This window comes from Homo sapiens, chromosome 13, assembly GCF_000001405.40.
Source record: "Homo sapiens chromosome 13, GRCh38.p14 Primary Assembly".
Lineage (NCBI taxonomy): Eukaryota > Metazoa > Chordata > Mammalia > Primates > Hominidae > Homo > Homo sapiens.
In genome coordinates, this window is record NC_000013.11 from 95,738,986 (window position 1) to 95,757,158 (window position 18,173).

Consider the following 18,173-nt stretch of genomic DNA (forward strand, 5'->3'; position numbering starts at 1 on the left):
GCTTCCTTCAGGAGCTCTTGTAGGGCAGGCCTGGTGGTGACAGAATCTCTCAGCATTTGCTTGTCTGTAAAGGATTTTATTTCTCCTTCACTTATGAAGCTTAGTTTGGCTGGATATGCAATTCTGGGTTGAAAATTCTTTTCTTTAAGAATGTTGAATATTGGCCCCCACTCTCTTCTGGCTTGTAGGGTTTCTGCTGAGAGATCCGCTATTAGTCTGATGGGCTTCCTTTTGAGGGTAACCCGACCTTCCTCTCTGGCTGCCCTTAACATTTTTTCCTTCATTTCAACTTTGGTGAATCTGACAATTATGTGTCTTGGAGTTGCTCTTCTCGAGGAGTATCTTTGTGGCATTCTCTGTATTTCCTGAATCTGAACGTTGGCCTGCCTTGCTAGATTGGGGAAGTTCTCCTGGATAATATCCTGCAGAGTGTTTTCCAACTTGGTTCCATTCTCCCCATCACTTTCAGGTACACCAGTCAGACGTAGATTTGGTCTTTTCACATAGTCCCATATTTCTTGGAGGCTTTGCTCATTTCTTTTTATTCTTTTTTCTCTAAACTTCCCTTCTCGCTTCATTTCATTCATTTCATCTTCCATCGCTGATACCCTTTCTTCCAGTTGATCGTATTGGCTCCTGAGGCTTCTGCATTCTTGAGCCTTGGTTTTCAGCTCCATCAGCTCCTTTAAGCACTTCTCTGTATTGGTTATTCTAGTTATACATTCTTCTAAATTTTTTTCAAAGTTTTCAACCTCTTTGCCTTTGGTTTGAATGTCCTCCCGTAGCTCAGAGTAATTTGATCGTCTGAAGCCTTCTTCTCTCAGCTCGTCAAAGTCATTCTCCATCCAGCTTTGTTCTGTTGCTGGTGAGGAACTGCGTTCCTTTAGAGGAGGAGATGCGCTCTGCTTTTTAGAGTTTCCAGTTTTTCTGTTCTGTTTTTTCCCCATCTTTGTGGTTTTATCTACTTTTGGTCTTTGATGATGGTGATGTACAGATGGGTTTTTGGTGTGGATGTCCTTTCTGTTTGTTAGTTTTCCTTCTAACAGAGAGGACCCTTAGCTGCAGGTCTGTTGGAATACCCTGCCGTGTGAGGTGTCAGTGTGCCCCTGCTGGGGGGTGCCTCCCAGTTAGGCTGCTCGGGGGTCGGGGTCAGGGACCCACTTGAGGAGGCAGTCTACCCGTTCTCAGATCTCCAGCTGCGTGCTGGGAGAACCACTGCTCTCTTCAAAGCTGTCAGACAGGGATATTTAAGTCTTCAGAGGTTACTGCTGTCTTTTTGTTTGTCTGTGCCCTGCTCCCAGAGGTGGAGCCTACAGAGGCAGGCAGGCCTCCTTGAGCTGTGGTGGGCTCCACCCAGTTGGAGCTTCCCGGCTGCTTTGTTTACCTAAGCAAGCCTGGGCAATGGCGGGCGCCCCTCCCCCAGCCTCGCTGCCGCCTTGCAGTTTGATCTCAGACTGCTGTGCTAGCAATCAGCGAGACTCCGTGGGCGTAGGACCCTCCGAGCCAGGTGCCGGATATAATCTCGTGGTGCGCCGTTTTTTAAGCCCGTCGGAAAAGCGCAGTATTCGGGTGGGAGTGACCCGATTTTCCAGGTGCTGTCCGTCACCCCTTTCTTTGACTCAGAAAGGGAACTCCCTGACCCCTTGCACTTCCCAAGTGAGGCAATGCCTCGCCCTGCTTCGGCTCGCGCACGGTGCACGCACCCACTGACCTGCGCCCACTGTCTGGCACTCCCTAGTGAGATGAACCCGGTACCTCAGATGGAAATGCAGAAATCACCCGTCTTCTGCGTCGCTCACGCTGGGAGCTGTAGACCGGAGCTGTTCCTATTCGGCCATCTTGGCTCCTCCCCTGAAGCTCTTAAGTGTATTTTAAAATTTCATTCAGTGAATTCTTTAGTTCCAGTATTTGTCTGATTCTTTTTAAAAATGATATGTATCTCTTTTATACATTTTTCATTCATACCCTGGATTGTTTTTCTAATTTCTTTGTATTGTCTATCTCTGTTCTCTTATATCTCCCTGAGCTTATTTAGTGTCATTATATTGAATCATTTTTCTGGTATTTCACAAATTTCTTTTTCATTGGAATCTGTTGCTGGAGAGTTATTGTTTTCTTTTGGAGGTGTCATATTTCATTGCTTTTTCATGTTTAAGTTCTCATGTTGATATTTGTGCATCTGTTAATAATGTAACTGTCATGTCTTTGAATTTTTTGGATTTGTTTTTGTAGGAGAGGACTTTTTCCTTAAGATGTGTTTGTGATTTTGGTTGGGTAGAGCACTTTGGCTTTGATTCTTGGTGTATGTAGTAGTATAGTCTCCATATAATTTGGCTGGCTGTAATCAGTGTCAGTGGTATCTGTGATTTCTTCAGTGGCTTAGGGTGCAGTTGTTATTGGAAGCTGTTTTGTAGTTTTGCTGGGGATGGGGATGTCAGATAAGCCAGTTCTTGGGCCCTAGTGGGGGCAATAACAGGCCAAACATGCCTAACTTAGGGCTTCAAGGTGGCGTATGCTGGCATTTATGTTAGTGGGTCCACGTGGACCAATTCTTGGGCTTCCGGGTGGCCTACTTTGGTACGGGAATGGCAGCAGTGGATTGGACAGGTGGGTGGGTCCGTGGGTCCCTGGGCAGCAGTTGTGGCCTGGGCAATGACAGTAGCATTGGTGGGACAACCCTTTGGATCCCAGCTGGTCTGAGGTGGTCTTGGCGATGGCTACACTGTGTTGAGTGGGGCAGTCCCAGGCCACAGGTGGTGTGTCCTGGTGTATGCTACTGTGGTGGCATGGCAAGCTGGGTGGGCTCACCCTCAGGCTCCAGGAAGGAGTGCTCAGGTGCCAATGGGTATAGACTGGGCAGAGAAATCCTCAGGCCCCAGGATAGTGTGCTTGGGCACTTGGGCAGAGGCAGGGGTAGTGAGCCATGCCAGGCAGAACTATCCTCAGGCCCTTCCAGTGATGTGTACAGGTGCTGGCTGTGGTGGGTAAGGGTGGGGTGATCCCCAGACTTTCAGTGAAGTGCTTGGGTGGAGGCAGCAGTGGCTGTGCTGCAGTCCTGCTACTGGGTAAGGCGGGGATTTTTTCAGTGGCAGCAGCTGTAGGCAGGTGGCTGGGGAGCACACACTTTGTCCCTAGGTGGCGGCTGCTGGCAAGAGAGCCTGTGCTCAGTACATTTTAAAATGTGTAGCAATCCTTCTCCTGGGGTGGTGGGCTTGCTGCTAGTGTCTTGTGCTTGGCTCTGGTGGCAGCAACCAGCTACAGTGGCATCTGCAGGTGGGGGATGTCAATGGGGCACAATGGATGTGGAGATGCAGAAACTGTGGGGTGGGCCCCAGGGCAGGATGCTGCCTGGTAAGGGCTGTATTCTTACAGAGGCACCATGTTGTAGGTGCATAGGACTTGGAAGGTGTGTAGGATCCAGTGTGATCTCCTTCTTTGAAGCAATGCCATCATGCAGTCTCCATGCAGCTGGTTACTTTCAGGGCCCACAAGGGTTGAGAGGATCTCCAGCTAGGATTGGAGGAGTCCACAGTGGCAATGTGGACTGCTGGGGGTCACTTACTTACTTTTTCCCCACATTCAGAGCCTCTTTGGGCTCTTATCCCAGCCAAGCAGGCTGCCTCACTTCTCTCTTCTTCTTCTTCTTAGGTGTTTCCTGTTCCTTCTCTGTTGGGACTCCAGCGTTCTCTCCTAGATGATCTATACTTGCTATTTTGGTTCTTCCTTATGAAGAAGGTGACTTTCAGATGCCTCTCGTCAGCCATCTCTGAATGCCTTCCTCAGTCTTTAAATTTGATGAAGTTCAATTTGTTGATTTCCTTTTTACTTCTGTGGACTGTGCGTTTGGTGTCATGTCTAAGAAGTATTCACTACGCCGTAGGATCTAAAACTTTTCTCATATCTTCTAAAAGTTTTATGGTTTTGTGTTTTATTTTTAAGCCCATAGTCTATTTGAGTTAATTTTTGTATGATGGTATGAGGTTTAGGTCGAAGTTCATTTGTTTTGCCTTTAGGTATCAGATTGCTTCAGCACCATATTTTGAAAAGACTTTGTTTCTTTCATTGAATTGCTTTTGCACCTTATTCAAAAATCAGTTGGCTGTACTTTTATGGGACTATTTCTAGGTTCTTTATTCTGTTCCTTTGATCTGTGTGTCTGTCCCTTTGTCATTCCTGCACTCTGTTGATTACTATAGATAGTATTAAAAGAAAAACTTTTGAGAATTTAAACTTAGCAGAGTTTATTTGAGCAAAGAATGATCAATGAAGTCATCACTCCTCACAACCAGAAAAGGTTCAGAGAGCTGGGCTCTGCAATGTGGGCAGTGAGTACTTATAGACAGAAAATGTGAGGTACAGAAATCGTTTGACTGGTTACAGCTAGGCCTTTGCCTTATTTGGATATGGTCTGGTCAGTTACCTGCCTGTGATTAGTGGCGGTTTGGCTGCTTATGATTGGCCGAGACACCACTGTTATTACCTTCTTAAGTTAGGTTTTCAGTTTAAGTTAGGTTGTAGTTCATTAAGTGGGAACTGAAAGTATGGAGACAGCCTCAGGCCACTGGCCTCCTGCTTATTGATTGATTGATTGAGACAGAGTCTTGCCCTCTCACCTAGGCTGGAGTGTAGTGGCATGATCTCGGCCCACTGCAACCTCTGCCTCCTGGGTTCAAGCAATTCTCCTGTCTCAGTCTCCCTAGTGGCTGGGATCATAGGTGCCCGCTACCACACCCAGCTAATTTTTTGTGTTTTGAGTGGAAATAGGATTTTGTCATGTTGGCCAGGCTAGTGTTGAACTCCTGACCTCAAATGATCCACCCACCTTGGCCTCCCAAAGTGCTGGGATTATGGGCCTGAACCACCACGCCCGGCTGCCTCCTGCTTATTTAATAGTAGTTATCCTTAATATTGGGTAAAGTGATTCTTCTTTTGTTCTTTGTCAAAATTGTTTTAGATATTTTAAGGTTGGTGTCTTTCCATATACATTTTAGAATAAACTTGTCTGTGTTTATAAAAAGTCTTGAGATATTTGGTTAGGAGTCGTAATAAACTTACAGATTAATTTGGGGAGAATTGACACCTTTATTATGTTGAGTCCAGTGCATGAACATAGTAGGGATGTCTCCATTTGTTGAGGTCTCCTTCAGTATTTTTCATCAGCAATTTTTAATTTAATATACAGATACTGTATGTGTTTTTTACATTTTTTTAAAAAGTGTATACCTAAGTATTTTATATTTTTACTGTGATTGTAAATGGTATGTTTTAAATTCCAACTTTTGCATGGGATAATATTTTTGTGATTATTTCATAGGAAAGTACTCACCTTGTACTTAATTCTATGAGAGAAATCTTAGTGGGCATTCAGATGGGAGACCAAGTTAAATTTCAAAACTACAAGTCATTTTTAAAAGTTATATTAAAACAATTTTGTATGCATGTAAGAATAATTATAATTAGATTGGATTTGGTTTAGAGAAAAATACAAGCACAGGATTCATATATTTCAGAATCATTTTATGTTAAGCTTTGTTTGAAGTAAATTTAGGGTACCTGGAATAGTTTGTCCAAACTCATTGTAGGACTTAAAATTCAGATTAACAATTGGCAAATTCATATGTATGTACTTTGATCAATATGTATAGTCCTGCTCAAGGACGGTAGAGAGGGAGACACAGGGTCATGGAATTGGAATGCTGAGAAAAATTTATTTAACATATTAAAAAATTGATTAAATTTTAAGCATTCGGAACCTTGATTCCACAGGACAGAAGATAAAAGAATATTATCAGGCAGGTAACACAAGAAATACAAATTCAAAATCAGTGCATACAGTGCGCAGTCTTCCAAATGAAGAGATGAATGTTAAAACTATTCAGAGACCACTGGTCATTAAGTTGAGCAAAAATCAAGACGTATTTTACAGCGTAATATTGATAGGTCTTAAAGGAAATGTTTTCAGTCATATAATATGTTGACACTGCAAACATAAGCAGAGCTTTTGCGGTACAGTCTGGCATTAAGTATTACGAGAGAAAAACATTTTGCCCAGAGACACTTACTGGGGCTCTATTTGCTCTGGAAACTATTAGAGAATGTTGTATCTATATAATAGAATAATATTCATTAATAAGAATTATTTAAGGTTTGGTTTATAAACTTGGGCATACATAATAATGTCAATTAAATGGCAATATAAAAATTGTAAATGTTGATAACTACATAAAATTTTTATGTCTGTTAAATTAATATGATATGAATGACAATTATTTGAAGTTTCTAGCTCTTTTCCCTTGTGAGAGTTGTCAGAATCAAAATGAAGTCACTTGTATTAAATTCTAACAAAAAATAAATAAAGCCAGGAGGTTAAGAAGGGAGCTCTCACACACGTCTATCGTAAGAACTGCTACAAAGCATCTCTGAAGGGCTCTTCTGCACATATGCCTGTAATAAGAACTTTTGCCAGCAGTCCCTGCATCTCTACATCCATGGAGCCCCATTGACATTCCCCACCTGCAGCGGCCACTGCAGCTCAAACTGCAGCTTGCTACGTGAGTCACAAGGATAGCTAGCTGGATGCATAAGAACATTTGACTGACACAGTCTCCCCTGTATCCAATGTTCTCTTTGTTTTCAAACAAATTCCTTATGCTTTTCCCTTTTGCCTTTAAAAGCTTCTCCTGGCTTCAACCTGTTTGGATATGCCTGTGGTCCCTATAGCCCTCATATGCTGGATTTGCAAATCCCCTGCACACTCCAGAATAAACTCAGTTCAATAAACTCTTTGAAGAATGCTTGTTATTTAGGTTGACACTCTTTTGTAAAGTTGTATTCAATACACTTTGAAGAAAAAAGAAAAGCTTTGGAACAAGAGGTAGGAACCTTGAGTTTTAGATTTGACTTTGTACTTCAGCCATGGTTTGTGCAGCACTCACCATGTACTGGGTGTGTTGCTGAGTGGTTTGCATGGATTATTCCACCTCTAGGGGCAGAGGACTGCTATATTCGTAGTCTCAGTTTACAGCAGAGGAAATTGAGGCTTAGAGCAGTTTAGTAACTTGCTCAAGATTACACCAGTAGTTGGCAAGTAGGTTTTAGATTCCAGGGCCTGCACTCTGAAGCACTGCGCTGTTCTGCCCTCTGTTATAATTAGTAATTGTCCATATGCATCCTTTGAAGATGACTTCTGTAGAATATGGGCACAGGTCTCAACTGTATGGACAGTTTTACAAAGTGCAGAATAGGATAGTTGCTACTATCTGCATAAATGTAAGAACATACATATTTGCTTGAATGTGGATAAAATACCCCTGGAAAGATATGCAAGAAACTGATAACACTGATTACCTTCTGGAGGAAGATTACACCATGTGACCTTATTACCTTCTCAAAAAAAGTGTAAAGTGTAGACTTTATACATTTTGTGTAAGTGGCCTTGAAAGTTCTTGCCTTCTAAGGACCTTATTTTCCTCATTGTGAAGTGTAGAAGTTGAATAGATGACATATTCCTATCTTTATTGTTGATACTATATAATGGATGATTTCTGAGTCTAGTTTGAAAAGATCAAATTTATGTTATGCCTATTTTATATTTACCAATTACAGGATTCTTATACTTTAATTTTTGAAGATTTGTGAGTATAAATGATATATAAAAGTTTGATTGTTTTATATGTTCTTGGTTAAATGAGCTTTTTGTGTAATGATCATTTACCAGGCTATAAAATGTACTAAGCATTTCATCTTACTAATGTGGTGCTGGATACAGCCAGGTGGATATGTTTAGCTACATTTTATATAAAAGAACAAAAATTTGAATAGGTGTAATCTCTTTCTGGGCTCCAGTGAGAATCTCATTCTTTATTATGTACTGTATACTGATTACTCAGCTGGGGTGAGGGTTGCCTGCATAAAAGTATCTCCTCAGGTTCATAATTGCTGTCTTAGTCTTAAATTGGATTTGACTTAGTCTTAATCTATTCTTGGTCTTCATTGTTTACTATATATTTGCTATTCATGCTTTGGGCTTACGTGGATAATATTTAAATTTAGGCAGTTTTCCATGAGATCCAAATATAAAAAAGCAACGATAAATTTAAATAGTCATTTCATATAACTTAGATCATTTAATTTGTCTTTGAGCTGTCAGTTACTCTTAATCAGTGCATACAATCATTTGTTAGTTCAGTGAGCATTTGAGTGCATGTTCTTTGCAAAGAAGCTAGTCTCTGCCTTCCAAGAAATGATACTAGAGTAAGAATTAATCAGGCAAATATGATATATGATAAGTGTGTGATTGAGTCCTCTGGGAACATATGGAAGGGTCATCTAACTTAACTGGGGGAGGAAGGGTCTGGATTCAAGAAGGGCATTCCTAAAGGAGGTTACTTGCTTGAAATCTGAATTTTAAAAGGATGCATCCGTGTAAGCAAGGTGGGTAGGAGGACCATCCAGGGCAAAGGTGAGAGCCTGTGTAAGAATCAGAGGCAAGCATGTGCCTGTCATTTAGGAAATGTCCAGTAAGCTGGAGTATGAGACTCTTGACAGGCATGTGGGGGATCGTGATTATAAGGAGGACATTATATAGTGCCAGGAATTGGCTCTTTATGGCCATTGAAGGTTTATGTTGGAAGTATTATGAACAGTTTTTTGCTTAGCGTGATCGACTGGTTGCTCTGAAGAATGGATTGGAATAAGACAAGGGGAGAAGCAGAGAGTCTGCTAAATGAGACTGTTGCAGTAAATAAGTAATCCAAGTGTAACCTTACAGTGGTCAAAGAGTAGGCTAATGTAGGTGGGGTAGACGTTTAGGAGGTCGGCTCTAGAGAGATTCATTGGTTGGGGTGATAGGAAAAAAAGGAATTATGATATCCAGGTTTCTGGATTGTTCAAATTGTCCATGCTATTCCCTGAGATAGTCCAGAGAAAAATCATTTAGGGGAGAGGGACAGGTAGAGAAAATATGACTGTCTTATTTCTATAAAAACTTCCTGGTTCTCACTAACTTGTTTTATGTAATAATTTGTAATCTGTGAATTCTTCCCTTTTATCTCAAATCCAACATACTTTCCTAAGTGCAGTTTAAACTCATCTATTCTTGGTCTTCATTGTTTACTATATCTTTGCTATTCATGCTTTGGGCTTACGTGGATAATATTTAAATTTAGGCAGTGTTCCATGAGATCCAAATATAATTGGATCAATTATATTTAATTCAATTTAAATAGTCCTTTCATATAACTGTATTTTTTTACTTTGACAGAGCAGAAACTTGCATTTTGATTGTGAGAAACCATATATTAGGTAAATAATGGTGCCAATTGCAATTTAATTTTTAAATCAAGTATAAACCTTTGGTAAGACATTTGATAAACTCTCCTTTGGTAGTCTGTGGATCTGTATCAATTGTAAACAATTCAAACTAACATAATTATATCTATTATACATCAAAATAACTGTCATCATTTTTTTTCCATCTTTAATTCTTTAATGCAGAAAGGATCATTATATTGTTTCAGGATAGCTAACTCAGAAATAACCAAAGTTTCGGCTGGGTGAGGTGGCTCACGCCTGTAATCCCAGCACTTTGGGAGGTCAAGGTGGGCAGATCACCTGAGCTCAGGAGTTTGAGACCAGCCTGGCCAACATGGCGAAACCCTGTCTCCACTAAAAACACAAAAATTAGCTGGGCATGTTGGCACACGCCTGTAATCCCAGCTACTCAGGAAGCTGAGGCAGGAGAATTGCTTGAACCTGGGAGGGAAAGGTTGCAGTGAGCTGAGATTGCACCACTATACTCCAGCCTGGGTGACAGAGCCAGACTCCGTCTCAAAACAAACAAACAAACAAACAAAAAAACCCAAAGTTTTAAAAGAATACTCAAAGTATTGTGAACTGAGAATAAAGGAGAATGGTACTTTTAAGTCATAAAGTCATTTTGGTTATAATTTAAAGATAGCACTTTATGCTATGATTCAGATAACTGTTCTGGTTTTTATTGGTTCAGATTTAATACTGGATCACATACTGTAATTCACCAACTGTAAGGAGCTATCAATTATAAGACAAATTATTTTATGTACTACTAGAAGAATAAATGCTGCCAATTAAAGCCATCTTATAACAATATTTTTAATTTATGCTTATGGAAAGAACTGTTTGAGACTTAGATATGCATTTTTGTTATATCATACTGCTGTATTCATTGCCTTCCTGCATACATTAATTTCTTGAAGATTTTAAGTGGAATTTAAACTCAGCATGTGTAGTAAGTACCAAAAATGCCCATAACACAAATGAAGTGTGCTAGACCATTCTTGTGTATGTATGATCATGCTGACTGGCTGATGGTAAGACTCCATCAATTTTTAGATTCATCCCTCTTTGAGAGAGATTCAAATGTGTTTTCTTATCAGCTTGCTGAGATATGGGCCAAAGGGAAAGAGGAAGGGGTGAGCCTAAAAGATGCCAGCAGTAAAATGGAGTAAGACTCTATTACATCAGGAAAAGAGGGAACTACTGACTTTTAGGATTCATGGCTTAAATGATAAAGTAGAGCCATTGATTGAAGAGATTGATGGGGAGGGATAGCAATGGGTTGAAGATGGGAAACAGAATTCCACTTTGTCCCTGTTACTGAGATGCCATTTAGGTGATGGATTGGAGACATCTAAATGTGAAGTAGGTAGCTGCCTGCCTGATATTGGATGTGTACATAAGAGGGTTCTGGAAACAGCTATCTGAGTCACAGCATAAAGTGCTATCTTTAAAACCCACAGTTTCAGCCAGGTGCAGTGGCTCACACCTGTAATCCCAGCACTTTGTGAGGCCGAGGCAGGCGGATCATCAGGTCAGGAGATTGACACCATCCTGGCCAACAAGATGAAACTCTGTCTGTACTAAAAATACAAAAAAATTAGCTGGGCGTGGTGGCCCATGCCTGTAGTCCCAGCTACTCGGGAGGCTGAGGCAGGAGAATTGCTTGAACCTGGGAGGTGGAGGTTGTAGTGAGCCTCTAATTAGTGTTTTAAAGATAGCACTTTATGCTGTGACTCAGATAGCTGTTTCCAGAGTCCTCTTATGTACACATCCAATATCAGGCAGGCAGCTGCCTACTTGACATTTAGATGTCTCCAATCGAACGCCTAAATGGCATCTCAGTAACAGGGACAATGTGGAATTCCGTTTCCCGTCTTCGACCCATTGCTACCCCTCTCCCATCAATCTCTTCAATAAATGGCTGCACTCCAGCCTGGTGACAGTGCAAGACCCTGTCTCAAAAAAAAAAAAAAAAAAAAAACCCAGAAAACAAACCCCACAGTTTACTCCTGTATAGAAGGGAGATAATCTGATCTGCCCTTTAAGGTTTTAGGTTTAGCTTAGAGTAGTGCCTGGAGCACAGAAAGCTCTCAATAAGTGTTTTCTGCTGTCATGATTGATCTCCATCGTCATCTATAGCATGGGCTTTAGAGATAGAGACCTTAGTTTGAATTTAAGCAAGACTTACAGCAAGTTATATAATTATTCAATTTTTTTTTTTTTTGAGATGGAGTTTTGGTCTGTTGCCCAGGCTGGAGTGCAGTGGTGTGATCTCTGCTTACTGCAACCTCTGCCTCCCAGGTTCAAGCAATTCTCATGCCTCAGCCTCCTAAGTAGCTGGGATTACAGACCTGCGCCACCACTCCCAGCTAATTTTTGTATTTTTTAGTAGAAATGATGTTTCTCCATGTTGGCCAGGCTGGTCTCAAACTCCTGGCCTCCAGTATTCCACCCACCTCAGCCTCCCAAAGTGCTGGGATTACAGGCCTGAGCCCCCACACCTGGCCCAATTATTCAATTTGTCTGTAAACTGGAAATAGTAAAACCAAGCTCATGGGTAGTATTCTTAGTACTAGATGAAAAAGAAAAGCAAGGAAGCATCTCTAGTGGGAAGTTATCTGTAGTAAGTATACAAAATAGACTTAAGACATATATTCTAGGGCCAGTTGAGGAGGCTCACACCTGTAATCCCAGCACTTTGGAAGGCCAAGGTGGGAGGATTGCAGCTTGAGACCAACCTAGGCAACATAGTGAGGCCATGTCTCTACAGAAAATAAAATAATTAACTGGGTATGGTGACACATACCTGTAGTCCTAGCTACTTGGGAGGTGGAGGCAGGAGGATCACTTGAACCCAGGGCTCTGAGGTTTACAGTGAGCTCTGATCATGCTCCTGCACTCCAGCCAGAGTGACAGAGGGAGACCCTGTCTAATTTAACAAAAAAGACATATATTCTGCTCTTTAGCAATTTACACTTTAGTTGCAGGAAATAAGTCCTAAACATGTATGTGCAAGATGAACAATACAGAGAAACTTGTGAGAAGTTGACATATGAGCTGTCTAGGTAACAAGATAAGATTGAGAACTACATAGGAGACCCACTTCAGTTTTTCTCTTGATTAACTGTGTGATGTTGGGCCAGTTGTTTACTGTCTGTGAGACTCAGGATTTTCACTTATAATGTGAGAGTTAATTGGACAAGATGATTTCTTAGGATACCTCCATTTTGAAGGGTTTCTTAAAGTGATATAAATATTTAGAGGAAAGGCGATTACTCCAGAAAGCTTGGAGGAGGTGGGACTTGAGAAAACAGAGTGGTTTGATTAAAAACTACAAGATGGCACAAGAGTCTTTTGGAATTTTTGAAGGTATCTGTTTTATGTGTTACAATTAGGAGACATTAGCTGTATTAGTCTGTTCTCATGCTGCTAATAAAGACATACCCGACACTGGGTAATTTATAAAGGAAAGAGGTTTAATAGACTCACAGTTTCACATGGCTGGGGAGGCCTCACAATCATGGTGGAAGGTGAAGGAGGAGCAAAGGGACTTCTTAAATGGCAGCAGTCAAGAGAGCATGTGCAGGTGAACTGCCCTTTATAAAACCATCAGATCATGAAACTTATTTACTATCATGAGAACAGCATGGGAGGGACCCACTCCCGTGATACAATTACCTCCCACCAGGTCCCTCCCATGACACATGAGAATTATGGGAGCTACAATTCAAGATGAGATTTGGGTGGGGACACAGCCAAACCACATCAATTAGCTATATCCTTACATTTTCCTGCTTCATTAGTTATGAATTAATCAACTATTTGAGCTCATCCTCTGTGTCCGTTTTCCTTGTGCAGGGTGTGTCTAGGACAGTGGTTCTTGGGATTGGCCTCAGGATCTCATTATAGTGTTAATTACTGAGGTCACCAAAGAGCTTTGTTTATCGGTATTTACTATATTAGAAATAAATTTGAGAAATTAAAATAACTTAATGAAAAGTTACTACATGTTAATGTATTTTTTGTGTAAAAATAACTTTTCAAAAACCAAATTTTATTATTAAGAGTAGTATTTGTTTCACATATTTGCAAATTTTGTTAATATCTGTCTTAATTGAAGATAACAATTCTCATATCTGCTTCTATATTCAATCTGTTGTGATTTGTGCTTTGGTTGAAGTATATTGAAGATACTATGGCCTCACAGATATGCAGGTAGAAAAGGAAGAATGTTTTTGTATTCTTTTTAGATAATTACGAGTATTCTTCTTTGATGTTCCACAAAACTCCACTCGCGATTATATAGGTTAGTTACATATGGACTCTGAATCCTTATTAATTAACTTACAGCACTCTCTGTTATAATAAAATGCATTGGTTTATCTTGCCCTTTGAATGGGTTCTTTATCTTTTATCCATACATGCTTTTGTACTCACAGACCCCTGAAAGGGCACTAAGGAATCCCAGGGGTTCCTAGGTCACACTTTGAGAATCACTGCTACAGTGTTATCTGCCTCAGAGAGTGGTTACTACTTTAAGGTTATGGGTATTTTTAGCGTGGCAGAGAAATTTGGCCTGTCCTGTTAAGTGGTTATGTGAATTTATATTCCCACCAGCAGCATAGGGGAGTTCTAGGTATGCCACTTCTTCAACACTTCATGTGAACAGATAGTGTGAATTTTGCTAACCTGTTAATGTGAGAAAGGCCCTTTGAGGTCTCTTGTGTATATTTCTGTTGGGTTCTAGTTATCCAACTATTTCTTTTCCATTCGTCCATCCTCCTTCTTCTTCCCTCCTGCTCTCTCCCCACCCCTAATGGATTTAGCTGCTTCTTCCTTAGTCTGTTCTTTCCGTATGGTTGTACATGCTGTGTGTTTTTCTCATACTCGTTACCTCAGGAATTTTAATATGCATGTTTAACAAGGTAATCAAAACACAAGGATTTTAGAATGCTTTAATTCAGTCGCTCACCCCCTGACTTGTATACTATTGTTTCCAAAAACAGTTCTTTATGTTTTTTTCTTTTTCTTTTTTTTGGACATTCAAATTAGTGTTATTTTTATATAGTTCTTTTAACAAAGACTGCAGAAAGAATATGTGAAGGCAAATTCTAGAAGTCACTGCAGAATGTAATGTTGCATATACCTCAAGTGTTACATATTTTTCTATGTTATCAAATAATATCAAATGAAAATTTAAATTTTTGCTACTTATCCCAAAACATTAATTAAATAGAATTAGAAATATTAATTTCTTGAGGAATTAGCAATTCATTGAATATATTTTATGCCAAAGTCTAATTTTATTTTGAATTCAGAGAAGTCAAAGAAAGGTTCTATTATTCTAGGACCTTAATCACTGTAACTTTAATACAAGGGACCCAGTTTAAGTGGGCTAATATCTAATGCAATGGAAAATAAATTGAGCATCTTTTTAAAGTGTGTATTAGCACTTTTTGGAGTACTTGCTATGTGTTACATAGAGTATCTTCTTAATCTCTCAGTGACTGCCCTACAGGATATTGGTATTATTATCCCTCTTTTATTGGTAAAGAAAATGCAGAAAACACATAGGTAATTACTGATTGCCAGGAATGGGGTTTAATTAATTCATTCATCTAGACTTTATTTAAAAGCAATATCTGTTTGGAAATATTCACAGCCCGGTCACTGAGAAATGGTAAAACTTCCACACTGTGTTACTCCTGTGTTGGCTATCTGCTGCTAGATAACACATTATCCAACGTTAGCAGCTTAAGTAACACACATTTATATGATTTCACAGTTTATGGGGTTAGGAATCTGGCCATGGTGTAGCAGGGTCTGCTGCTTACTGCAGGGTCATGGCCTACAGTCAAGATGTGAGATGGGCTGCAATAGTAGCTGAGGGCTTGGCCAGTAAACGATCCGCCCCTAAACTTACTCAGCTGGCAGGGTTTAGTTCCTCTTGAGGTGTTTGACTGTTGGCCAAAGTCTTCCCTTGGTTGCTTCTCACACGGGCCTCTCACATGTCACAACATGGCAGCTTGCTTTATCAGAGCCAGCAAGTGAGAAGGTGAGAGGGAGTGCTAGCACCATGGAAGTCAGTTTTTTGTGACCTAATCAAGGACGTGACAGCTTATCACTTTGGTCATACTCTGTTTTTTAACAAACTTTTATACTGCAAAACAATAGGCCTAGGTTCATACCTCTCTTACCTTATAGTAGGATAAATTCAAAATGCATCAAAGATTTAAATGTAAAAAAAAAAGGCCAGGCATGGGCTGGGTGCAGTGGCTCACGCCTGTAATCCCAGCACATTGGGAGGCCAAGGTGGGAGGATCACATGAGTCCAGGAGGACAACATAGTGAGAACCTGTCTCTACTGAAAACAGAAAAAATTAGCCGGGTTATTCTGTTTGTTAAAAGGAGTTACCAGGTCCACCTCATGCTCCAGAAAGGCATGAATACCATGAGGCGAGGATCACTGGGGGCCATCTTAGAAGGCTGCTTACCACAACTGCCAACCTGGTGTTTTTATTTGAGGCGCCAGAAGTAGAGGTGCAGTCATACAGAAGGCAGATCATCTCTTTGAACAAGCCCCCATCCCGTAGCTATTACGGGTTATTTTTCCAGAAGCTCAGTGACCAGGATACATAGTGAGAAGTAAAAAATATAAAATATTGTTACAGGAAGGGATTTGGCAGAAAGAGTCAGAAATGTGAAAGCCCTAAGGAAGAGAAAGGATGTCAAGAAACATGAAAAAGGGAAGAATGAGGGAATTGTCAGCAAGGGCCATTCTCTACATGCAGGTGTAGAGAAAACAAGGGGGTGATTGAGAGGAGTCAACAGCCTCATGGTAATAATAAAAATCTTCATCTCAGACGGGCACAGTGGCTCATATGTGTAATCCCGTGCTTTGGAAGGCTGAGACAGGAGGATCACCTGAGGCCCGGAGTTGGAGACCAGCCTAGGCAACATAGTGAGACAACCCTGTCTCTACAAAAAATAATAAAAAATTAGCTGGCTGTAGTGGCATGCACCTGTAGTTGCAGCTACTTGGGAGGCTGAGGCTGGAGGATTGCTTGAACTGAGGAGCTGGAGATTGCAGTGAGCTAAGAACATGCCACTACACTCCAGCCTGGGAGACAGAGCAAGACCCTGTCCCCTGTCTCTTTAAAGAATAAAAAAATGGGCCTGGCTCAGTGGCTCACGCCTGTAATCCCAGCACTTTGGGAGGCTGAGGCGGGCGGATCACAAGGTCAGGAGTTCGAGACCACCCTGGCCAATATGGTGAAACACCATCTCTACTAAAAATACAAAAATTAGCCGGGCATGGTGGCGGATGCCTGTAGTCCCAGCTACTCAGGAGGCTGAGGCAGGAGAATTGCATGAACCCAGGAGACGGAGGTTGCAGTGACCTGAGATTGCACCACTGCACTCCAGCCTAGGTGACAGAGCGAGACGCCGTCTCAAAAAAAAAAAAAAAAAAAAAAAAAAAAAGAATAAAAAAAAATCCCCCAAAACCCTAATTTCATCTGGCTTGACTCTCTTTGAAACTCTCAGGCTTCTAAGGAAGCCCCTCGTTTCTCCAACTCCTTTCTTACTTCCTTGGAAGAATCCTCTCTCCCTCTTCCCCACCTCTCTTCTGGCCTCACAGAGGCCTAGATGACCTGAGCTCACTCCCTCTTTCCTGTTTCCATTACCTGAGCCCTCCAGCCTCTGTCCCGAGATTTAGGGCTTCTCCTCTCACCTTCCAACAAGAAAAATTGTGTGGAAGAAATTAGACTCCAATGTTTGAGAGGAAAAAAAGGTGCAAATACGATCCTGAAGAGGCAGTCAGTCTTTGATACATTCTATCTAAGAGGGTCAGTAGTGTACTCATAGGAAACACGTTATCAATAAACTTTTACCCAGAGCAAAGTGACAGTGCACACACATTCATACTCTCTCCGATGGGGTTTATCCGAAGTATTCAAGACCACCCTAAGGATGATAAAACAGACAGAGACAAGCATGTCTGACTCCAAACAACACCCTTAAACTGGATGATGCAATCATTCCGGGAAACCCTCCCCCAGAGTGAGTGGAGGTTACCAATTCCTAGTTACCAATGAGTACTTCAAGTCCTGTTCTTCACAAGTCAAGGGTTAAAACAGACAAAATAGAATAGCTAAAATAGAATAGCTAAAATATCCTAAAACACAAAATGGACAAGTATAAAACCCTTACCAAGAAATAATATTGATAAAGTTTCTCATTTGGAGTGTTCTGTCCCACCAGGTTGGTAGTGGGAGTATATTTTAAAAATTAATCCACTGAAAGGAGGAATATGATTGACTCATTGAGGAGGGAGATTTCTAGAATTAACTTTCCCTTGTCTGTACCTAACCCAAAATTGGAACCCTTTAGTTATAGTTTGCATCTTAGTAAGAATATTAAGATTTCAAAAATTATTAAATATAAACTACAATCTTAACCTCCCCTCCCTCAGGCTTAAAAAAATGTAGCTACCTGGTTTTCTGAGATAATTATTTTTTGTCTGGAGGAAGAAATTGTTAAGAGTCCCTGTGCACAGGGCTGGGGTTGGGAGTGGGGATGAACTGTAAGTAAAAACAAGGGATCTTACTGGGGTGATGGAAATGGTCTAAAACTGTGGTGATGGCTGCACAACTTGGTAAATTTATTTTTTAAAAAATCATAGAATTGTACATTTGAAATGAGCAATTTTATGCTATATAAATTATGTCTTTATAAAGTTATTTTAAAAAGAGGCAGTGTGCAGATCTCTTAAAGCCACATCATGCACCTTTTAGTAAGGTATTACTCTTATTTCCTTCTAAATTCTTTCTTGTACTTTAACCCTTTTGGTATCA

At 40.7% G+C, this 18,173-nt stretch overlaps 1 protein-coding gene across 2 annotated transcripts in view, besides 2 other annotated features; it reads left to right on the forward strand.

Moving 5' to 3' along the window:
• DNAJC3 (DnaJ heat shock protein family (Hsp40) member C3) overlaps positions 1-18,173 on the forward strand; it is a 117,850-nt gene that overhangs the window by 61,847 nt on the left and 37,830 nt on the right. The window contains exon 5 of one of the 2 annotated variants that reach the window (XM_011521104.3): positions 3,649-3,735. The exons of the other annotated variant lie outside the window; for it this stretch is intronic. Coding sequence (XP_011519406.1) covers positions 3,649-3,735 — 87 coding nt within the window. The remainder of the gene's footprint in view (positions 1-3,648; positions 3,736-18,173) is intronic. 2 annotated transcript variants of the gene reach the window in all.
• Positions 2,968-3,037: a silencer, noted in NCBI's record as "silent region_5448". NCBI's record gives its function as "represses an Ori minimal core promoter by ATAC-STARR-seq in GM12878 lymphoblastoid cells {active_cell/tissue: GM12878}" and the evidence as "EXISTENCE:reporter gene assay evidence [ECO:0000049][PMID:35858748]".
• Positions 15,110-15,404: a silencer, noted in NCBI's record as "tiled region #4273; K562 Repressive DNase matched - State 5:Enh". NCBI's record gives its function as "represses a minimal TATA promoter and a strong SV40 promoter by Sharpr-MPRA in K562 cells {active_cell/tissue: K562}" and the evidence as "EXISTENCE:reporter gene assay evidence [ECO:0000049][PMID:27701403]".